Source organism: Homo sapiens, chromosome 10 (assembly GCF_000001405.40).
Source record: "Homo sapiens chromosome 10, GRCh38.p14 Primary Assembly".
In the NCBI taxonomy this organism is placed as follows: Eukaryota; Metazoa; Chordata; class Mammalia; order Primates; family Hominidae; genus Homo; species Homo sapiens.
The window spans coordinates 31,128,074-31,145,428 of record NC_000010.11 but is presented as its reverse complement, the minus strand read 5'-3'; the positions used below and the strand labels follow the sequence as shown (position 1 = coordinate 31,145,428).

Below are 17,355 nucleotides of genomic sequence, written 5' to 3'. Positions count from 1 at the left end.
AAATCATAGACTTGACAATAGACATTTTTAAAAAAAGAACCAGAATTCACAAGCTGGTGATGGCCTTTGCATGAGGTAAAGCAGGGCCAGTCAACAAACATGTGAAAAACAGCTCATCATCACTGATCATTAGAGAAATGCAAATCAAAACCACAATGAGATACCATCTCACTCCAGACAGAATGGCAATTATTTTGGAAAAATAGGAATGCTTTTACACTGTTGGTGGGAATGTAAATTAGTTCAACCACTGTGGAAGACAGTATGGCAATTCCTCAAGGATCTAGAACCAGACATGCCATTTGACCCAGCAATCCCATTACTGGGTATATACCCAAAGGAATATAAATCATTCTACAATAAAGACACATGAACATGTATGTTTATTGTAGCATTATTTACAATAGCAAAGACTTGGAACCAACCCAAACGCCCATCAATGATAGACTGGATAAAGAAAATGTGGTACATATACACCATGGAATGCTATGCAGCCATAAAAAGAAATGAGATCATATTCTTTGGAAGGACATGGATGAAGCTGGAAGCCATCATTCTCAGCAAACTAACACAGGAACAGAAAACCAAACACCACATGTTCTCACTCATAAGTGGGAGTTAAACAATGAGAACACATGGACACAGGGAAGGGAGCAACACACAAACAGGGTCTGTTGGGGGGTGGGGGGCGAGGGGAGGGAACTTAGAGGACGGGTCAATAGGTGCAGCAAACCACTATGGCACATGTATACCTATGTAACAAACCTGCACGTTCTGCACATGTATCCTGGAAATTAAAGTAAATTAAAAAAAAAAAAAAGGAAAAAATAGTGGTCTTTTGGCACTGCTCCTGGGGATGCTTCTAGGGGTCACCGGAGCTTCCTCCTGTGCACTCCAGGACAGGGCCAAGCCGAATGGATCCGGACAGGGACTTGGAGGAGGATGGCAGCGAGGGCGCAGCTCTCATGGAGAGCAAGCTGGAGAGGCAGCTGCAGGCAGGGCTGCGTCCCTTCTGAGATGGACTTTCTGCTCAGGACTTTCGCTGTCCTGTTGCGCCCCCTCCCACCCCCTGTGAGCACTTGATGCAAAGAACCCCCTACTCTCCCCACTGTCTAATTTGGCCCTCCTCTGTCGCCGGAGAAGGTGCTTTCTCTTTGTCTGGGACACCATGTGAGTTCTCCCACTCTGTCCAGCCCCTTGGGGTAGCTGAGCCCTCCCATCCATCCCCTCCTTTGGGATTCAACACTTTCCTAAATGCTACTTTTCTGACTGCTTTGTCAACTCCCCACACCGGGTCCCACAGAAAAGTAACTGCTCAGCCCAGTGTCTGACATCTATGGCCTGGGCTCACTTGGCTAAGAAGGAGAACAAGAGACACATGAGGTGTCACTGCAGAGACAACACCAGAAGGTGAGGTTTTAGAGGCCAAAGTAAAGGTCATGAGTTAAGTTCAGAGGTCAGGTAAGTTGAGCATAGGGGGCCCAAAACAGCCCAGGATGAAGAACAGCAAAGATGCTCCTGTCTAGAGTTGGCGTGGGAATTGTACTAGTCTGTTTGCATTGCTATAAAGGAATACTGAAGCTGGGTAATTTACAAGGAAAAGAAGTTTATTTGGCTTGCAGTTTGTGGGCTGTACAGGAAGCATGGTGCCAGCATCTGTTCTGGTGAGGGCTTCGTGGAGCATCCAATCCTGGCAGAAGAGAAAGGGGAGCTGGTGTGTCACATGGTGACAGAGAGCAAGAGACAGAGGGGAGGGAGCTGCCAGGCCCTTTGTAACAATCAGATCTCACAGAAACTAACAAAGCAAGAACTCACTCATTACCGCAAGGGCAGTACCAAGACATTCATAAGGGATCTGTTCCCATGACCCAAACACCTCCCACCAGGCCCCACCTCCAACACTGGGGATCATATTTCAACATGAGATTTGGTGGACACAAAGATCGAAACTGTATCAGAATAGGTGACCAGAGCAGGCCTGACCCTAGGACTGGGCCCAGTCTCTCACACAGGGCAGGTTCTCAAGGCCGGGAGCCCAGGATTACCACCAGCCCAACTCAGGCACTGTCAGCCTTCTGACTGTCCAGCTTGGTTCAAAGAAGCTCATGGCTATACATCCCCAGCAAGCAGCTGAGTTCTGCAGAGTTCTGGGAAGACGACTAGACCTGTGGTTCATAACCCAAGGATGTAATTCTGATTACAGTTTTTTCAAAATCCACATGCCAGGACTTCCCTCTGGACCTGTCAAATCAGAATCTCAGATGATGAGTTTGGGGTGGGATGGGCAGGCATATATGACTTTTATTATTATTATTGTTATTATTTATAGATAGGGTCTCACTTTGTCACCCAGGCTGGAGTGTAGTGGTATGATGACAGCTCACTGCAGCCTCAAACTCCTGGGTTCAAGTTATCCTCCTGCCTCAGCCTCCTGAGTAGCTGGGACTACAGGTGCATGCCACCATGCCTGGCTAATTTTAAAATAAAGTGTTTTGTAGAGACAGCGTCTTGCTATGTTGCCCATGCTGATTTCAAACTCCTGGCCTCAAGTGACCCTCATGCCTTGGCCTCCAAAGCATTGGGATTACAGATGGGAGCCACTGTGCCTGGCTCACTAATGACTTTAGAATGCTGTCCAGGTGATTCACATACAGCAACCCACCACATCGCATCTCACGATGGGCACCATCTTTGTTATGTGATTTTGAGGCTAGAGACCAAGGTTTTTACCTTGCATTTAGCATAGTTCCTCATGCATGATAGGCCTAAAATAAATATTTGTTGAATGAATGAATGAATAAACGGACACTTCTGGAGACTAAAAGAATTGTGGACTATGTCAACAAACACAGGAAAAAAACAGACTTTCCAGTTTAAGCAAGTCTTCCAGTCACCCATTCACAACATCAACAAATACGACAACACTAACGTGCATTTTGTGTAGTCGTGTGGCTCAGCAATATGTGGTATTAAGGAACGAAACAAGGATTTGTGTTAACATCATAGACGAGAGTGTAAAATACAAGAAGGCACTCCACCCACTCACAATTAATTATATAATCTGAGGCTTAAGTCTGGCTTTGGAAACAATGGAACCATAATTACATGTCCAAAGCCCAAAATGGAATCCCACAAGTGTTTGACAAGTAGAACATAAGGATGATGGAGTGGTTTACCCATAAGCTTGACCACAGGGCAACCCTGGTGAGTCAGGATTTTAGGTCGTGGTAGGATTTTTCATTATCCTCCATTCTTCTGCAGTGAGTACATTGAGCTCAGGGCCACTTGATGGATGTGAATCGGTCTGTGAATTCAGGCTAGCCTGCTGTCTTCGTGCATCTGACCCGTATACAGAATAGCCATGCAAATTAGCATGGGTCTCAGGCCAGACAAAATTAATCTAGGCCTAAAAGCAATCAAGTAAAAGGTGTCAAAGGGCAAAAGAAGAGGAAAATATGACTGGGAGCAGCGACGCTTTATTTTTCAGGTTTCTCTGACTCATGTGATTTTTTTTTCTTTTGTCATGAGAAAATTCACAAATGTAGGAAAAGCTGGTGGGAATCTTTGCAAATATTTATGGGATGAGAAAAAACTGTTCATATTGAAAGCTGGATTAAGAGATTCAGATTCAGGCCATCCCTGATATCAAATCTAAAGTGGGCCTCCATGCCAGCCCCTTGGGTCTTGATCTCAGCACCCTGTTTTACCTGGACAGCAGTGGCCACAGTGGGTCATTTCATTCATTAGTTTTGATGGCATTTGTCTCTCTCATTGGACTGTAAGTTCCTTGAATCATTCTTAAGTTCCTAAGAATCATGTCTGGGCTGGGCACAGTGGCTCACACTTATACTCCCAGCACTTTGGGAGGCTGATATGGGCAGATTGCTTGAGCCTAGGAGTTCAAGACCAGCCTGGACAACATGGCAAAACCCCATCTCTACAAAAAATACAAAACATATCTGGGCATGGTGGTGAAGGCCTGTAGTCCCAGCTACTTGGGAGGTTGAGGTGGGAGGATCGCCTGAGCCCAGGAGGTTGAGGCTGCAGTGAGCCACGAGAGCATGCCACGGCCCTCCAGCCTAGGTGACACAGCAGGACCCTGACTCAAAAAAAAAAAAAAAAAAAGAAGGAAAGAAAGAATCACGTCTGTCTTGCCCACCTCTTATTCCCAGCATGTGGCACACATATTCAATAAATGTAAATGCTCATTAAACTAATGATTGGACATTGCCTGAGGATTGCAGCAGCCTTCTTATAATAAGAGCAGGCCGTGCAGTTGTCAGAGTCCCCAGGCCTACCATTTACAGCATGCCTGCACCTCACAGAACTCCCTGATGGCCTTGAAGCTCTCACCTTTCTGTTCTGACCCAGGATGCCTTGAACAGTCATTCAGCTTTCTTTTATTGACCAGGGCAAGCTGCCTGAGAAATGGAGATAAAAGGCAGAGGCACACAGGCAAACCCAAGAAGGAAAGGCAGGGACTGGTTTAAAAATGGGCTGGATTCAGACGGCAGATGATCAAGGGAGAGCCAGGTATTCAGTCCCAGGCCTGAGGGGCCAGAGAGAAGACCATATGAAGGGCAAGGAGTCAGGCAGAAGGCCAAGGTTACAATGATGGAGACCTGGGCACTGAGCTACCCTCTTTCACAGAGCACACCACTTCTGTGCTTTCTGTATGCTCAGTAGCAACTAAAAGCAGTAGCAATCATAATAACAAACATGGGTTTGTTATTATGAACTCTTACTATGGGTACTGTGCAGAATATCCTCCTTATGGGAGTAATTGATCCATGCTAAGGATTGGTCATTGATAGAGGTCAGAGGTTAGAGAGGTGAGGGTTTGACGGTCAGGATGGTATTTGTGCTGGAGAACTAGGAATGCCCAAATCCCCTGTCAATCGGTCCTCCTCCCATGAGGTTTGATTGTGTGTAATAACACACAAGGGGAGTGAGTCGAAAAACACAGAAGGAATAGCAATCAAATTACCACTGTATTGTTATTTCCCAATTGCCCCCAACAGATGCTCGCTGGTTAAGCTGCGTTGGAGCCTGCGGTTGAGACTTAAGGCCAAACAGACCTCCTAATCCACCACCAAGACATCCCTTGCAAGAAAATAAAAATCATGGTACTAACACATTAAGAATGTTTTTAGAGGAAAAAGAGAGGATGAAGGAAGGCTTGTTAGGTAGAGCACAACCCTGACCTAACTGTGGAAGCCAGCAGTAGCAGTATCCCGAAAGAGGCGGATCAGAAGGGAGATTCCTGGAGTGTCCATCACATTGCAAGTAGCAATCCCATCCATCATCAAAGGAGGTCAACAGGTGGCCTCTGAGTCTGACTGTCCTGATAGCAGCGCTTCCTTGGAGAACTCTGTCTCATGAGAAGCAGCAAGGCCAGGAGGCAGGTGAATGGGCACAAGCATGAAGACATGGGAGGGAAGCATCCCTCCCCAACAGTAGTAGAAGTAAAAATAATGACGATCAATATTTCAATATGATCACTTTCAGAGTGCATTTAAATGTATTGTTTAATCTTTATAACAATCATATTGGATAGCTGCCATGAGTCTCGGAATGCAGATTGGTTAAGTGACTTACCTAAGATCGCACACCTAGTAGGTGGCAGAGACAGCATTCACTATCAAGAGGGCAAAGCCCACCAGCTTGCCATCCAACACACTGGTTGCTAAGTGAATCTAGCGTGGGGAAATACGTTGGATCTAAGTACAAAGCCTGACACTGTGCCAGGTGTCCTGCTCTGCCAAGAAGTGATGGTTCTCCTTCTACCATTCTGGTCCTTCTAGGGAGCTACCTCTAACACACTTGCCGATTCCCATTTACAGAAAATTCTTGATCTCACTCGGCCTTTCCAATTAATGATTACATATAACTTAAAAATTTTCCAATCATCCATTAATTCCCAAACACAGAGGTGACTCACTAATCGAGGATTTATGGCAACAAATACCATCTAGATAGATTGGTATAATAGCTTTCACTGTAAGTAAAACAGCATGGCCTAGGTGCTGGAATAGACAGATCAGTGAAATAGACCTAAGAATATGGTTACTTATTATAAAGAAAAGATGACATTTCAAATAACCGATAGAAAGCATGGATTATATAACAAATTATGATAAAATAATGGATTTGCAAGAAGAACAATTCAGTTATATCTTTACCTGATTCCTTATTATCGACATACAGATGCATCAAACAAAGCCAGAAATGTACTCGGTGAAAACACAGATGAATACTTTCATAATCTTGGAACGAGGAATTTTCTTACCCAAAGATTATCTTGATACAATATATAATTTTAAATTTCCTATGGCAAAAGATCACAAATGACATTTACGCAGAAATAAAGAACTGGAGAAAAATTATTTGCAAATGATATGATGGACCGAATTAATACCTTTACTATACACAGAGCTCCTACAAATCAATAAAAGGAAGTAAAGAGCCCCATAAAAATGGGAAAAGATACATGTAGCCTGCTTATAAAAGAAGAAATGCCAAACATATAAAACAATATTCAATCTTAAGTTTCAACTATATTAATATTCACACATAAAATAATAAAACAGTAAAGTGTGTGTGTATGTGTCTGTGTGTGTGTCTTTGTCTTTGCCTATCAAATACAAAGAATAAAGAGACTGAGAAAACCTACCATTGAAATGGGTATTCTCATGCCCTTATAGTTGTTTTTTATGTAAATTGGCATCATTCTTCTGAAGGGCAGTCTCAAAATATATACCACAGCTTAAAATATGCACACTTACCCTTAGCCCAAGAATGGCAATTCAACAAATTTATTCATTTTTATTGTAGTAAAATATACATACTATAACATTTACCATTTTAACCATTTTCCAGGTAAATGTAAAATATTTTTGTTCTAGTTTCTTTTTTAACAAATAGTTTACATGTCTGTATACATATACTTATATACAATTATATCTCAGACACATATATATTTTTAAGGTTAATTACAGCTTCCATTTTACTTGTTCAGGCTGTGAGGCAACTAACATTGTAACCATTTGTAAGTGTGCAGCCCAGTGGCATGAAGTAGATTCACGTTGTGCAATCATCACCACCGTCCATCTCCAGAACTTTTTTTTAATCTTCCCCAACTGAAGCTTTGCACCTATTAAACACTAACTCTCAGCCAGGTGCAGTGGTTCATGCCTGTGATCCCAGTACTTTGGGAGGCAAAGGCAGGGGATCCCTTGAGACCAGCCTGGGCAACATAGTGAGACCTGTCTCTACAAAAAATAATTTAAAAAAAATTAGCTGGGTGTGGTGATGTGCATCTATAGTTCCAGCTACTTGGGAGGCTGAGGCAGGAGGACTGCTTGAGTCCAGGAGTTTGAGGTTGCAGTAAACCATGATCACGCCATTGTATTCCAGCTTGGACAACAGTGAGACCCTCTCTCAAAAGTAATAATAGTAATAAAATAAAAGTAAATAATCAAACACTAATTTCTCACTCCCCCCACCACCCTAGCCCCTGTCAACCACCATCCTACTTTCTGTGTCTATGAATTTGACTACTCAAAAGATTTATCTTAAGAAGATAATTGTACAACAGTAAAATACATGTGCATGAAAGATATACTCATTCATTCAAAAATATTTCCTGAGTCCTTACTACGTGGTAATAAACAAGATAGAAGAGGTAACTTGTGTCATGCCCAAGTCATGATCCCGAGAAAGAAAGTAGAACATAAACAAGCATGCAAGCTATGAAACATTCAGTTGGGATAAGCAATTATAAAGAAGATAAACAAATCGACGTGATAGTAATTTTAGGTGGGGGTGTACTTTAGGTTTCTCAAGCACTGTTTATAATAGCAAACAAATTAGAAAAAGCTAAATGTCTAAGCAACATTCCTGCTAAGGCGTCGAGTCCACCTGGCCGGAAGTCAGCATATGACAGTTCATCTTAGACAGTAAGAACCTTTCTCAGAACTAACTCCATTAATTCAACGTGCCTTCTGTAGAGCATTTTCCTGGAGAGAAAGTTTCCAACATTTGGGGGTAGAGAATAATTTAGCAGGGGTACATGCCAGTGCTTCCTTATTCTGAGAAGGAATATGTAGATGACAGTTTCAAGTGTTTGATGTCCAACCCTCCTAAAACTGTAAAATAGCAACAGGGTGATCAAGACACTGATCTAAATCTTGTTTTGTGGTTTTACTTTTGTTCTGGCAGGCTTAGCAACACTGGAAAAAAAAATTACAGTGTGTGCACGGGAAACAGATTCTTTCCTCCTTCTTGACTAACTGACAAGTTGGAGATCAGGCACAAGTCAAGTGTGATGGCATTGCTTGTGATATAGTTGGGATACATGGAACAATTTAAGCAGCATCAAGGGCCTGGCCTACCCTTAGCTTAGGCAGGAAATTCAAGGGTAATATAACACTTTGCTGTTAAGTAATACCATTGGAATAAAAGCATGTTCAGGATGACTTTTGGCTTTAACTTGGAATTTCTGTTTCATTTGCTTCCAATAAGAACGTTTTTTTCTCCTTAAAGTTCTTAACTTGTATTTCAAAAGTTCTTGTCGCTGTATAAATATGATATATACAAGCCAGCCTTGAATAAAAACTGTATGCCACAGGATACGCTGAAAAACAAATTTGGGATATAAGTTTTAGCTGGAAACATCTGCAGCAGCAGCTTTGTATAATGTAAAGAGTAAGTTGCAGGTCAGACGTATGAACCCTCCTACCTATTAGCTGTGTGGCCTTGAATGGATGAATTAACCTTTGAGCCTATAAAAGGGGAAAAACCATAGAACCCACTCAGAGGGTCTCTGTGAGGATACATTGCAAGCACATGAACTAGCACATAGTAGGTCTTTTTTCTTCTTTCCTAGGCTTCATAACTGAGTGTGGCATAAATGACCTAGAAGAGAAAAGGACTAAAATGAGAAACTGAAATGTAGTTTTGTCTGAGTAACTCAAACATGGTCCGACCGATCTGTCTTTTGGTTTTAACCCATGTTCCCCCGTGCTGCCTAAGAAGCTGAGTTTCGGCATGAGTTGAATTTCTGTCTTTAGTTTCTAAAGGATTTACACTAACTAGAGCATCGCTAGATAACTCAGGGTGATGCGAGAGGCTCACACCCATGAGAGAAATTGCTGCAGGATCTCAGGATGTTTAGCAGGGAGAAGACTGTGTGGGGACAGCAGAGCTATCTCCAAAACATTTGTAGGGTAATATCATGTGCAAAAGAAATTAGATTTATTCCGCATGACTCCATAAGTGGAGACATATTTTGGTTTTATAGATAGAAGACATTTATGAAAAATAAGATTGTTACCCAGGCACGGTGGCTCCCACCTGTAATCCCAGCACTTTGGGAGACTGAGGCAGGAGAATCACTGGAAGCCAGGAGTTCAAAACTAGCCTGGGGCTGGGCGCAGTGGCTTACACCTGTAATCTCAGCACTTGGGGAGGCCTAAGCGGGTGGATCAATTCGAGACCAGCCTGGCCAAGGTGGTGAAATCCCGTCTCTACTAAAAACACAAAAATTAGCCAGGCGTGGTGGCACACACCTGTAGTCCCAGCTACTTGGAAGGCTGAGGCAGGAGAATAGCTGGAACCTGAGAGGCGGTGCTTTCAGTGAGCCGAGATCTCACCACTGCACTCCAGCCTGGGTGACAGAGCAAGACTCCCTCTTAAAAACAAACAAACAAACAAACAAACAGCCTGGGCAACATAGCAAGAACCCATCTCTGCAAAAAATTTAAAAAATTAGCCAGGTATGGTGGCACATGCCTGTAGTCCCAGCTACTCATAGGCTGAGGTGGGAGGATCCACTTGAGCCCAGGAGTTAGAGACTGCAGTGAGCTGTGATGGTACTACTGCACTCCAGCCTGGGCGAGAGAGTGGATCCTTGTCTCTAAAAAATAAATTTATAAAATCTGAGGTAGAAAGGGTCCCATCACTAACACTCCCTAGGGGCCATACAGGGAATTCAGTATTGGAAAAGGGTTGAATGAGGTGACTTCGAGGGTTCTTTTCCAGGCCAGGGAGGCTGCAATTCTGATGGCTCTGTAAATGCAAGGTTTTGCTGCAGGAAATTAAGGCGGAACAGGCATAGCGAGGTGTAAGGCACACGCAGGAGCACACAGATTGTGCTAATATATGAACTTTTGAACTTTAACCTTCTCTAACAAAAGAACGTCATGCCACATTGAAAAAAAAAAGGCCTTCCACTGCTAGAAATGAAAACATTCATACTTTAGTGTATCGTATTTTATAGGTTCATGTAGACACAGGGGCCAAATGAAACTGAACCAAGATCTTAGGCATTAAGTTACATTTTAATTTTACCTTTTCCCCTTTGCGATTCTGACATAAGCAGTAAAAATGAACCTGGACCTTTGACCTGAGCAGTAGATATATTTTTTAATTAAATTTTTTTTTCCATTCACCTGCGAACCTCTACTGATTGTTTCAGTGTCTTGGTCAACCGCTTTTAACAGCGAAACATTAAAGCCACTGCAAGAATAAACAGGAAGCTGGTGTTTAGGTGGGAGTTCCTAGGAATTTTATACCACTGACCACAGAGGCCAAAAGAGAAAGGAAATAGGAAAAACAGTGTAAATACCTGGGTGACTAATGACTTTGCACAGCTCAGCTGGCTTTTCTGAACATTTCATGGGACGTCTCTCCAGGGGAAACAACCTGAAAATGTTTCAGGACTCCGGGTGGCATTGAAGGGCCAGAGAGGGGTGTTTAGTGCACGCTGTTGGCTGGCTGGTTTTGTGGGTTTTGTTCACCGTCTACCGGGCAGAGAGCCTTTCTGCCGATGTCGCCAGATGCCTCTCTCCAAGCGAAATGACCCATTTGCATGCGTGGTGCAGACATTTTCCGGAGCTCCAGGGCTCCCAGGCCTCCCCAGGCCTCCGATTGTAAAGGATCGTAGGGCCACCCCTTTCCTTGTTCACATGGACAGCGCCTAAGAGGATTTAGAATCAAGTGGGCACATTTGCACTGCCTTGTTCTGAAGAGGCAGCTGGAGCGCGGACTGGCCTGGCGCAACCCACCGCGGGTCCCGGGGGACCGCATTGTCTCGGAGGGGCCGCCACAGGGGCTCCATTGTGAGCGGGGCCGGCCTTTTTCTCCTGCCCTCTGTCTCCCCGGGCCTCCCCTCATCCCCCCCACCCCCCCTCCACGCAGACTTTTCTCTCAAGCTGCCGGCACCCCCGGCTGCCGCATTTCCAATGCAGGGGAGCGGCGAGGCTCCGGGCTGGCCATCTGCACGCGGAGATTGACAGCAGTCCCGGAAGGTCAGCGCCTCAACGATTTCTGTCTGAACAGCAGGCCACCCAGGCCTCGCGAGCAAAACAAGGACATCTGCTCCCCTTAATTTAGAACGCTGGTTCTAATTTCTCCGAAGCCCCTTGCTTAACGCCCTCCTCAGGCTGCGGGGGAGGGGGCGAGGAGGGGCAGGACAGACGCGGCTGCCCGCCCCCGGCTCCCCAGCTCCCGGGGAGAGCAGCTGAGTCTGGCGGGAGTAGGGAGGGGGGTTGGGGTGAGGAGCCTGGTCACTCACGTGACCCGGGTGACGTGGCGCGGGGGAGGGGCGGGAGGGCGGAGTGGGCGCCGGGCCTGCCACGCCCGGGACGCACAAATGCTTCTGGGTCTGCAGAGGAGCAAGCTGCGCTGGCCCACGAGGCCCTTCTCCCCGGGGCAGATGGATTTCAGGCGCCCCCCACCCCTTGAGGAGAATATCAAGGAAATGGACAGAAGAGTATATTACAACTATCATCTCTGCCCTTGGCCTCGTGAGGGTCGCTGGGCTGGGACAAAGTCCTGCCTGGGCAGTTGACATCAAAATTCGTCGTGCCTTGCCTGCTTTATGTGGGCAAAAGGATGAAAGAATTGCACTTCTGTTGCGCTTCCACTGCTAGATCATAAGCTCCCTGAAAACACGTTGCATCTGTGTCTCTAGCAACTTCCACAAATGTTTGGAGAATAAATTAATGTGTGGCAGGGCGCGGTCCCTGTGAACTCTAACTGTGCTCTTTTTCTCTGTGACAGAAAAGGAGACATTGCAGAGAATCAACCTGTGCCTGCAGCTAGGGATTCGTTAATTACTTTGTTCCCTCTTTTCCTCCCTCCCTCCCTTCCTCCTTTCCTTTCGCTAACATTTTGATGGATACCTCATGTGTGCTGGAGATCAGGCGGTGGACCAGGGATACAAGAAACGAGACTCCTAGCCCTTGAGATGCTCTTCATGTGGTGAGGGGTGCTGCATACAAGCAAACAGTTCACCAGGGCTCTGGGTGACAAGTGCCATGGATAGCAGTAGGGCGGCCCTCAGCCCAGCTCCTGGGGAGGGAGGAAGGGAGGGAGGATGTCCAGGTGGAGGCTGGGTGAGTAGAAACTTACCAGGAGAAAGGCCCTTTGCCCACATAGGTCTCCCTGCATAGCCCACCCCCAGCCCATTCCCCTCCCACTTATTCCTCTGGCCTCAGGTGAAATGTCACTTCCCTGGTGCCTGGGCCAGATCAGGTCCTCCAGTTACAGGATCCTGTAGCTCTTTCATCTTCTCTTTTGTAATACTCATCAAATGTACAACCGGGCAAAATTCACCCTCCCCACCGGACTGTAAGTTTCGTGAGCCAGCACTGTGCCTGACTCCTCATGCCCCATAAATACTTGTTGAGCCAATGAATAGTCAGACTCCTCTTAAGTTAGTGAGAAATCCATACATACATTTTCTGTTTGGGATGCCAGGACAAGCTGTGACGGCTCCACTCCGAGTACCAGTGGGAACTGCCTGGTACCAAGGGGCTGTGGTTTCAAATTTATTATTTTGTGATATTCTGCACCTCGGTGATTTTGAAACTGCCTTCTTCCAAATGAGTGTCAAGTAGATGCTCCTCAAAAAGGGATCCTCGGGCAAACAGGTTTCTTTGCCAGAGGATTTTACAGAGCCTATGATGTGTTCATGTGCACTGTCCTCAGGCAGGTAGTTTGTTGAAGAAGCATCTAGTAACATTTGCAGCTGGAGGATATCGATGAAGCTCAGTGTTAACTTTGCCGCACCGTTTCTCCGTAACTCCTCCTAGGCTCTGAGAGATAGAAGGAGCTGGGATCAAGGGATCTGCACAAGATTAATTTGCCATAATGAAGGTCTACTCCTTCCCCTTGATTTCTTTGTTATGCCATGTGACAAATTGTTGTTTTTGACAAACAGAGCATTGAGGGAGGCCGAGGCAGATAGGCAGATAGATCAGCTGAGGTCAGGGGTTCAACACCAGCCTGGCCAACATGGTGAAACCCCATCTCTACTAAAAGTACAAAAATTAGCCAGGCATGGTGGCATGAGTCTATAGTCCCAGCTGCTTGGGAGACTGAGGAAGGAGAATCACTTTAACCTGGGATGTAGAGGCTGCAGTGAGCCAAGATTACACCATTGCACTCCAGCCTGGGCAACAGAGCCAGATTCCACCTCAAAAAAAAAAAAAAGGATTGAAGATGTAGATTAAGGAGGCATTGGGGGTACTCTATAGTGTCACCTGAGTTTAAATCCAGCTCTGGCACTACTTAGCTGTATGACTTTGGAGGACTTCCTTAGCATCTCTGTGCCCAGGTACTTTATTTGTACATAGAGATAATAGTTTCTAATTTACAGTCTTGTTAAGACGTTAAAAGCTCTTATAGGCACGTAGAATTCTCATGGTAGATATAAATTTTATTTAAATTGCTAATAATTGGTTAATTAAAAAATAAATATCCAACCTCTAATAGGTTAATTTAACTAATTAAGCCTGGTGTATTAATGGAGAGGGATCACAGTGGCTGATAGCCCGAGGGACTAGGTTTTCTCTGCTTGCTGCCTTTGAGCTTGAGTGAAGCCTTCTGCGCCTTGGCTATTTGTTGCTTTTCCAGCTAGAAGGATTCCAAGTCTTCAACAGCATTACTGAGCTCTTCCTCTCAATAAGTTTAAGTTGTAATTTCATTACACTTCATTCTCAAATAGAAGAGTTGAGCAGCTGTGTAGCAAGATCCAAAACACTTTGTTTACAATTAGTTTTCCAAGGATTGGCTTAATAGCCAGTGGCAAATTTCTCAGCAATAGGTTTATGAGCCAGAGAAGCATTTCTTTTTTTTTTTTTTTTTTTGGATACAGGGTCTGGCTCTGTTGCCCAGGCTGGAGTGCAGTGGTGCAATCATAGCTCAGTGCAGCCTTGAACTCCTGGGCTCAAGTGATTCTCCTTCCTCAGCCTCCTTATTAGCTGGGACTACAGGTGTACACCACCATACTTGGCTAATTTTTTAACATTTTGTAGAGATGGGTGTCTTGCTATGTTGCCCAGGCTGGGTTTAAACTCTTGGCCTCAAGCAACCCTCCCACCTTGGCCTCCAGAGGACCATATTATTTTAAACAATAGAGACTGTTTACAGTGAAAAGGAAAATAGAATCGTACCTTATTTGTTGTAGCTTAATTTGGCCATAAAAGAGTCAATATTGTATTTTCAGAGAAGAAAAATTTTCAGGGGCCTTATATGAGAACACAGTGTGAAAATTCACATTATTTTCAAACTGTATTTAAACCACCCAGCCTAAAAGAAAGTTGCTTCTGGAAAGTCAAAGATGCTCTGAAAATGAGTGGAGATATGGTTTCTTACCTATGTGTATAAAATGAACAGTTTTATTCTTTCAACTCTTTATTATCTCTATAGGACATTAAGTTGGGCCGCATGTGCTAGACTAGATGTCTGGAGTAAATCTGTTTTCAGATATAATCTCTGGAGCATTCATGAAAGCTTCATATTTTGACACAGGAAGCAAAGAACATACTTGCAAATGCTGGCTCTGTTCATGGATGGAATGGTGCTTGAAACAAGTATCCTGCTGACATTACTTAACTCTTACAGGGGTCATTACTTAGGGATCAGCAATTTGCTAAAGATGAACAGATTCTAAGAAGATGGTTTTCCAGCAGCAACCAATTTTAAATCTGGACTGTGCACCAGGCACCTCTTGGGTATGACCTCAGTGCCTTTGGGTGTCCCTTGTCCCTCATTCCAGCTACTGATGCAGGTTCTGAGCAGCTTCCTGCTGGGGCCTTGCCTCATGCCTTTGCCTCACACCTCTGCTGGAGCTTCCAGAGTCTGCCCTGGAGCTTCTCTAAGCCGTCGGGGGCCCATGCATTTTGCCCAACCCAGGAGTGATCAATGGAGTCTAAGTGCTAATGGATAAATGTTTTCCTTTCTTCCCCCAGATGGACAGCCCTGAAACATCTTTCATGCAACTCCTCAGGCAGCCCAGAAACAGCCAGGAACCATTCGCCAGGAGCTGTGGCCAACTTAATAACTCATCCTTGTATTGGTTTCCATCCTCTGTCCTTCATCCGTCTTGTCTTTTACTCCTACTTGCTGGATCACACATCCCAATAAATTTTTGCACTCAAGCGTTTGTCTCAGGATCTGCTGTCCGGAGGACCAAGACTAAGTTCAAGTCATATTTTTTTTTTTTTGAGATGGAATCTCACTCTGTTGCCCAGGCTGGAGTGCAGCGGCATGATTTTGATTCACTGCAACGTCCACCTCCCGGGTTCAAGTGATTGTCCTGCCTCAGCCTCATGAGTAGCTGGGATTACAGGTGCACGCCACCACACCTGGCTAATTTTTGTATTTTTAGTAGAGACAGGGTTTCACCATGTTGGTCAGGCTGGTCTCAAACTCCTGGCCTCGTGATCCGCCCGCCTCGGCCTCCCAAAGTGCTGGGATTACAGGCATGAGCCACTGCGCCCAGCTGCCTTTTTTTTTTTTTTTTTTAACTAAATTGAGTTACACTGCCTAGGCTATCTTCACACACCCCCACCATCTCAGGCAGTTTTCCAAATGCAGAAAGCTCAGTCCTCTTTTCACTGAGTGCATCTGCATCCTGGTGTGTGCATGAAATGGGTGATGGGGTAACCTGTCTCCTTGCGTTGCATGTGGTGGGTCTCAGGGAGAGTGCTGAGTCATGATGTCTTGGCAACAGTCACAGCAGGACCCAGAATGGAGTTTACAGTGCAGATCCAGCAACTGGTTGGGAATTCTGGCCCTGTGCTTTTGTCTGCTAACTTTAACTTGGCCCTGTGTTATTTTTCCAAGCCATATTTTTAACTTACTCCTAAGTTTTTTTATTTGTTCATTTCATCCTGCTGTATTTGTGGATTTGATATAAATAAGCAAAGATTGGTGTGAGTAGACCTTTTTTAAAAAAATCATGTCTAAAAGTCCCAAAGTCACATTGAATACTCTTACTATATGATGTAGCTTTTTAAAAATGATGAGAAAATTGTGGTTTTGAAAAGTAAGTGTAAAAACTTTACTGTCTTCATTTGGAGATGATTTATTGAATTTGTTTAATCACTAACAAGCCTGGAACAAAATTATGCCATCCACAGCGAGAATTATACAACTTTGAACAACAGTTCTGGCATGCTATGGGGACCTCATAGAGACACAGTATCTGACCATGGGACACAAAGTGACCATGTGGCCAAAGCAGCCCATCAGGAGCTGGGTTCTGTCGAAACCACTATGTCATGTCATTGGATAGGCCCTGGAACAATCCATTGTAAGACTGGACTGGTACATCTGGGATTAGGCCTAAGCAGGACCAGAGGGCACAGTCAAGCTGCACAATAGCCATCCACTATTACTGTACCAGCACTTCCCTCTCAGCTCACACCCACAGCCATATGTAAGACCCTTATGATTAGCTGACTAAGAGGAAGGAGCTCAAGCTTGCTTCATGGATGGGCCAGCTCTGTACATCCGTGCAAGCTGAAAATGAATGGGAACTGTGCTACAGTCCCATTCAAGGGTGGTCTTAAAAGACAGTGTGGATGGTGGTGTCCCTGGTCATACACTTTGTTTTGAAAGAGAAGTGGCCTGGGGTCGTGATATATGCAGACTTATGGGCAGTACCAAATGGCTTGACCAAATGGGCAGGGGCCTAGTAGGAGACAGATTGGCAGATTGGCCACAAGGAGGTCTGGAGTAGAGACACGTGCATGGACTACAGGAGTGTTGAAGGTCTTTGTATCACATGTTAACACCCACAAGAGAGGCACTAAACATACAGGTAGACAAAATGACTAACCAGTTGACAGCAGTCCCTGTCATCATCCACTCCAGGGCCGGCGCTGAATAGAATAGCCATGGTGGCAGGTATGGAAGCTATGCATGGGCCCACCAGTATTGGCTCCCGCTTACCAAAGCTTTTCTAGCCACTGCTACTGCCAAATGTCTAACATTCTAGCAGCAGAGAGTGATACTGGGGTCCCAGTAGAGCCTATACCTCAAGGAGACCAACCGGACACTCTG

The 17,355-nt window shown here is 44.9% G+C and overlaps 3 long non-coding RNA genes across 5 annotated transcripts in view, besides 2 other annotated features; 1 reads left to right on the top strand and 2 right to left on the bottom strand.

The window, feature by feature from the left end:
* The window catches only part of LOC105376481 (uncharacterized), a 123,422-nt gene that overhangs the window by 10,501 nt on the left and 95,566 nt on the right, over window positions 1-17,355 (bottom strand). The gene's annotated exons all lie outside the window — the stretch shown is intronic.
* Window positions 1,587-11,529, bottom strand: LOC105376483 (uncharacterized). Of its 2 annotated transcripts, XR_001747411.2 has the most exons (4): window positions 10,628-11,529; window positions 8,741-8,916; window positions 6,183-8,635; window positions 1,587-1,690 (listed from the first exon to the last, which is right to left on the bottom strand). It is a non-coding gene; the product is annotated as an uncharacterized LOC105376483 (long non-coding RNA). The 2 variants fall into 2 exon arrangements; XR_930798.3 differs by having other exon boundaries at window positions 1,587-8,635.
* Window positions 11,096-11,145: a silencer, noted in NCBI's record as "silent region_2273". NCBI's record gives its function as "represses an Ori minimal core promoter by ATAC-STARR-seq in GM12878 lymphoblastoid cells {active_cell/tissue: GM12878}" and the evidence as "EXISTENCE:reporter gene assay evidence [ECO:0000049][PMID:35858748]".
* Window positions 11,206-11,565: a silencer, noted in NCBI's record as "silent region_2272". NCBI's record gives its function as "represses an Ori minimal core promoter by ATAC-STARR-seq in GM12878 lymphoblastoid cells {active_cell/tissue: GM12878}" and the evidence as "EXISTENCE:reporter gene assay evidence [ECO:0000049][PMID:35858748]".
* On the top strand, window positions 11,225-15,446 carry LOC105376482 (uncharacterized). Of its 2 annotated transcripts, none has more exons than XR_001747412.2 (4): window positions 11,225-11,309; window positions 12,064-12,264; window positions 14,911-15,020; window positions 15,258-15,446. It is a non-coding gene; the product is annotated as an uncharacterized LOC105376482 (long non-coding RNA). The 2 variants fall into 2 exon arrangements; XR_001747413.2 differs by having other exon boundaries at window positions 11,237-11,309; window positions 12,207-12,264.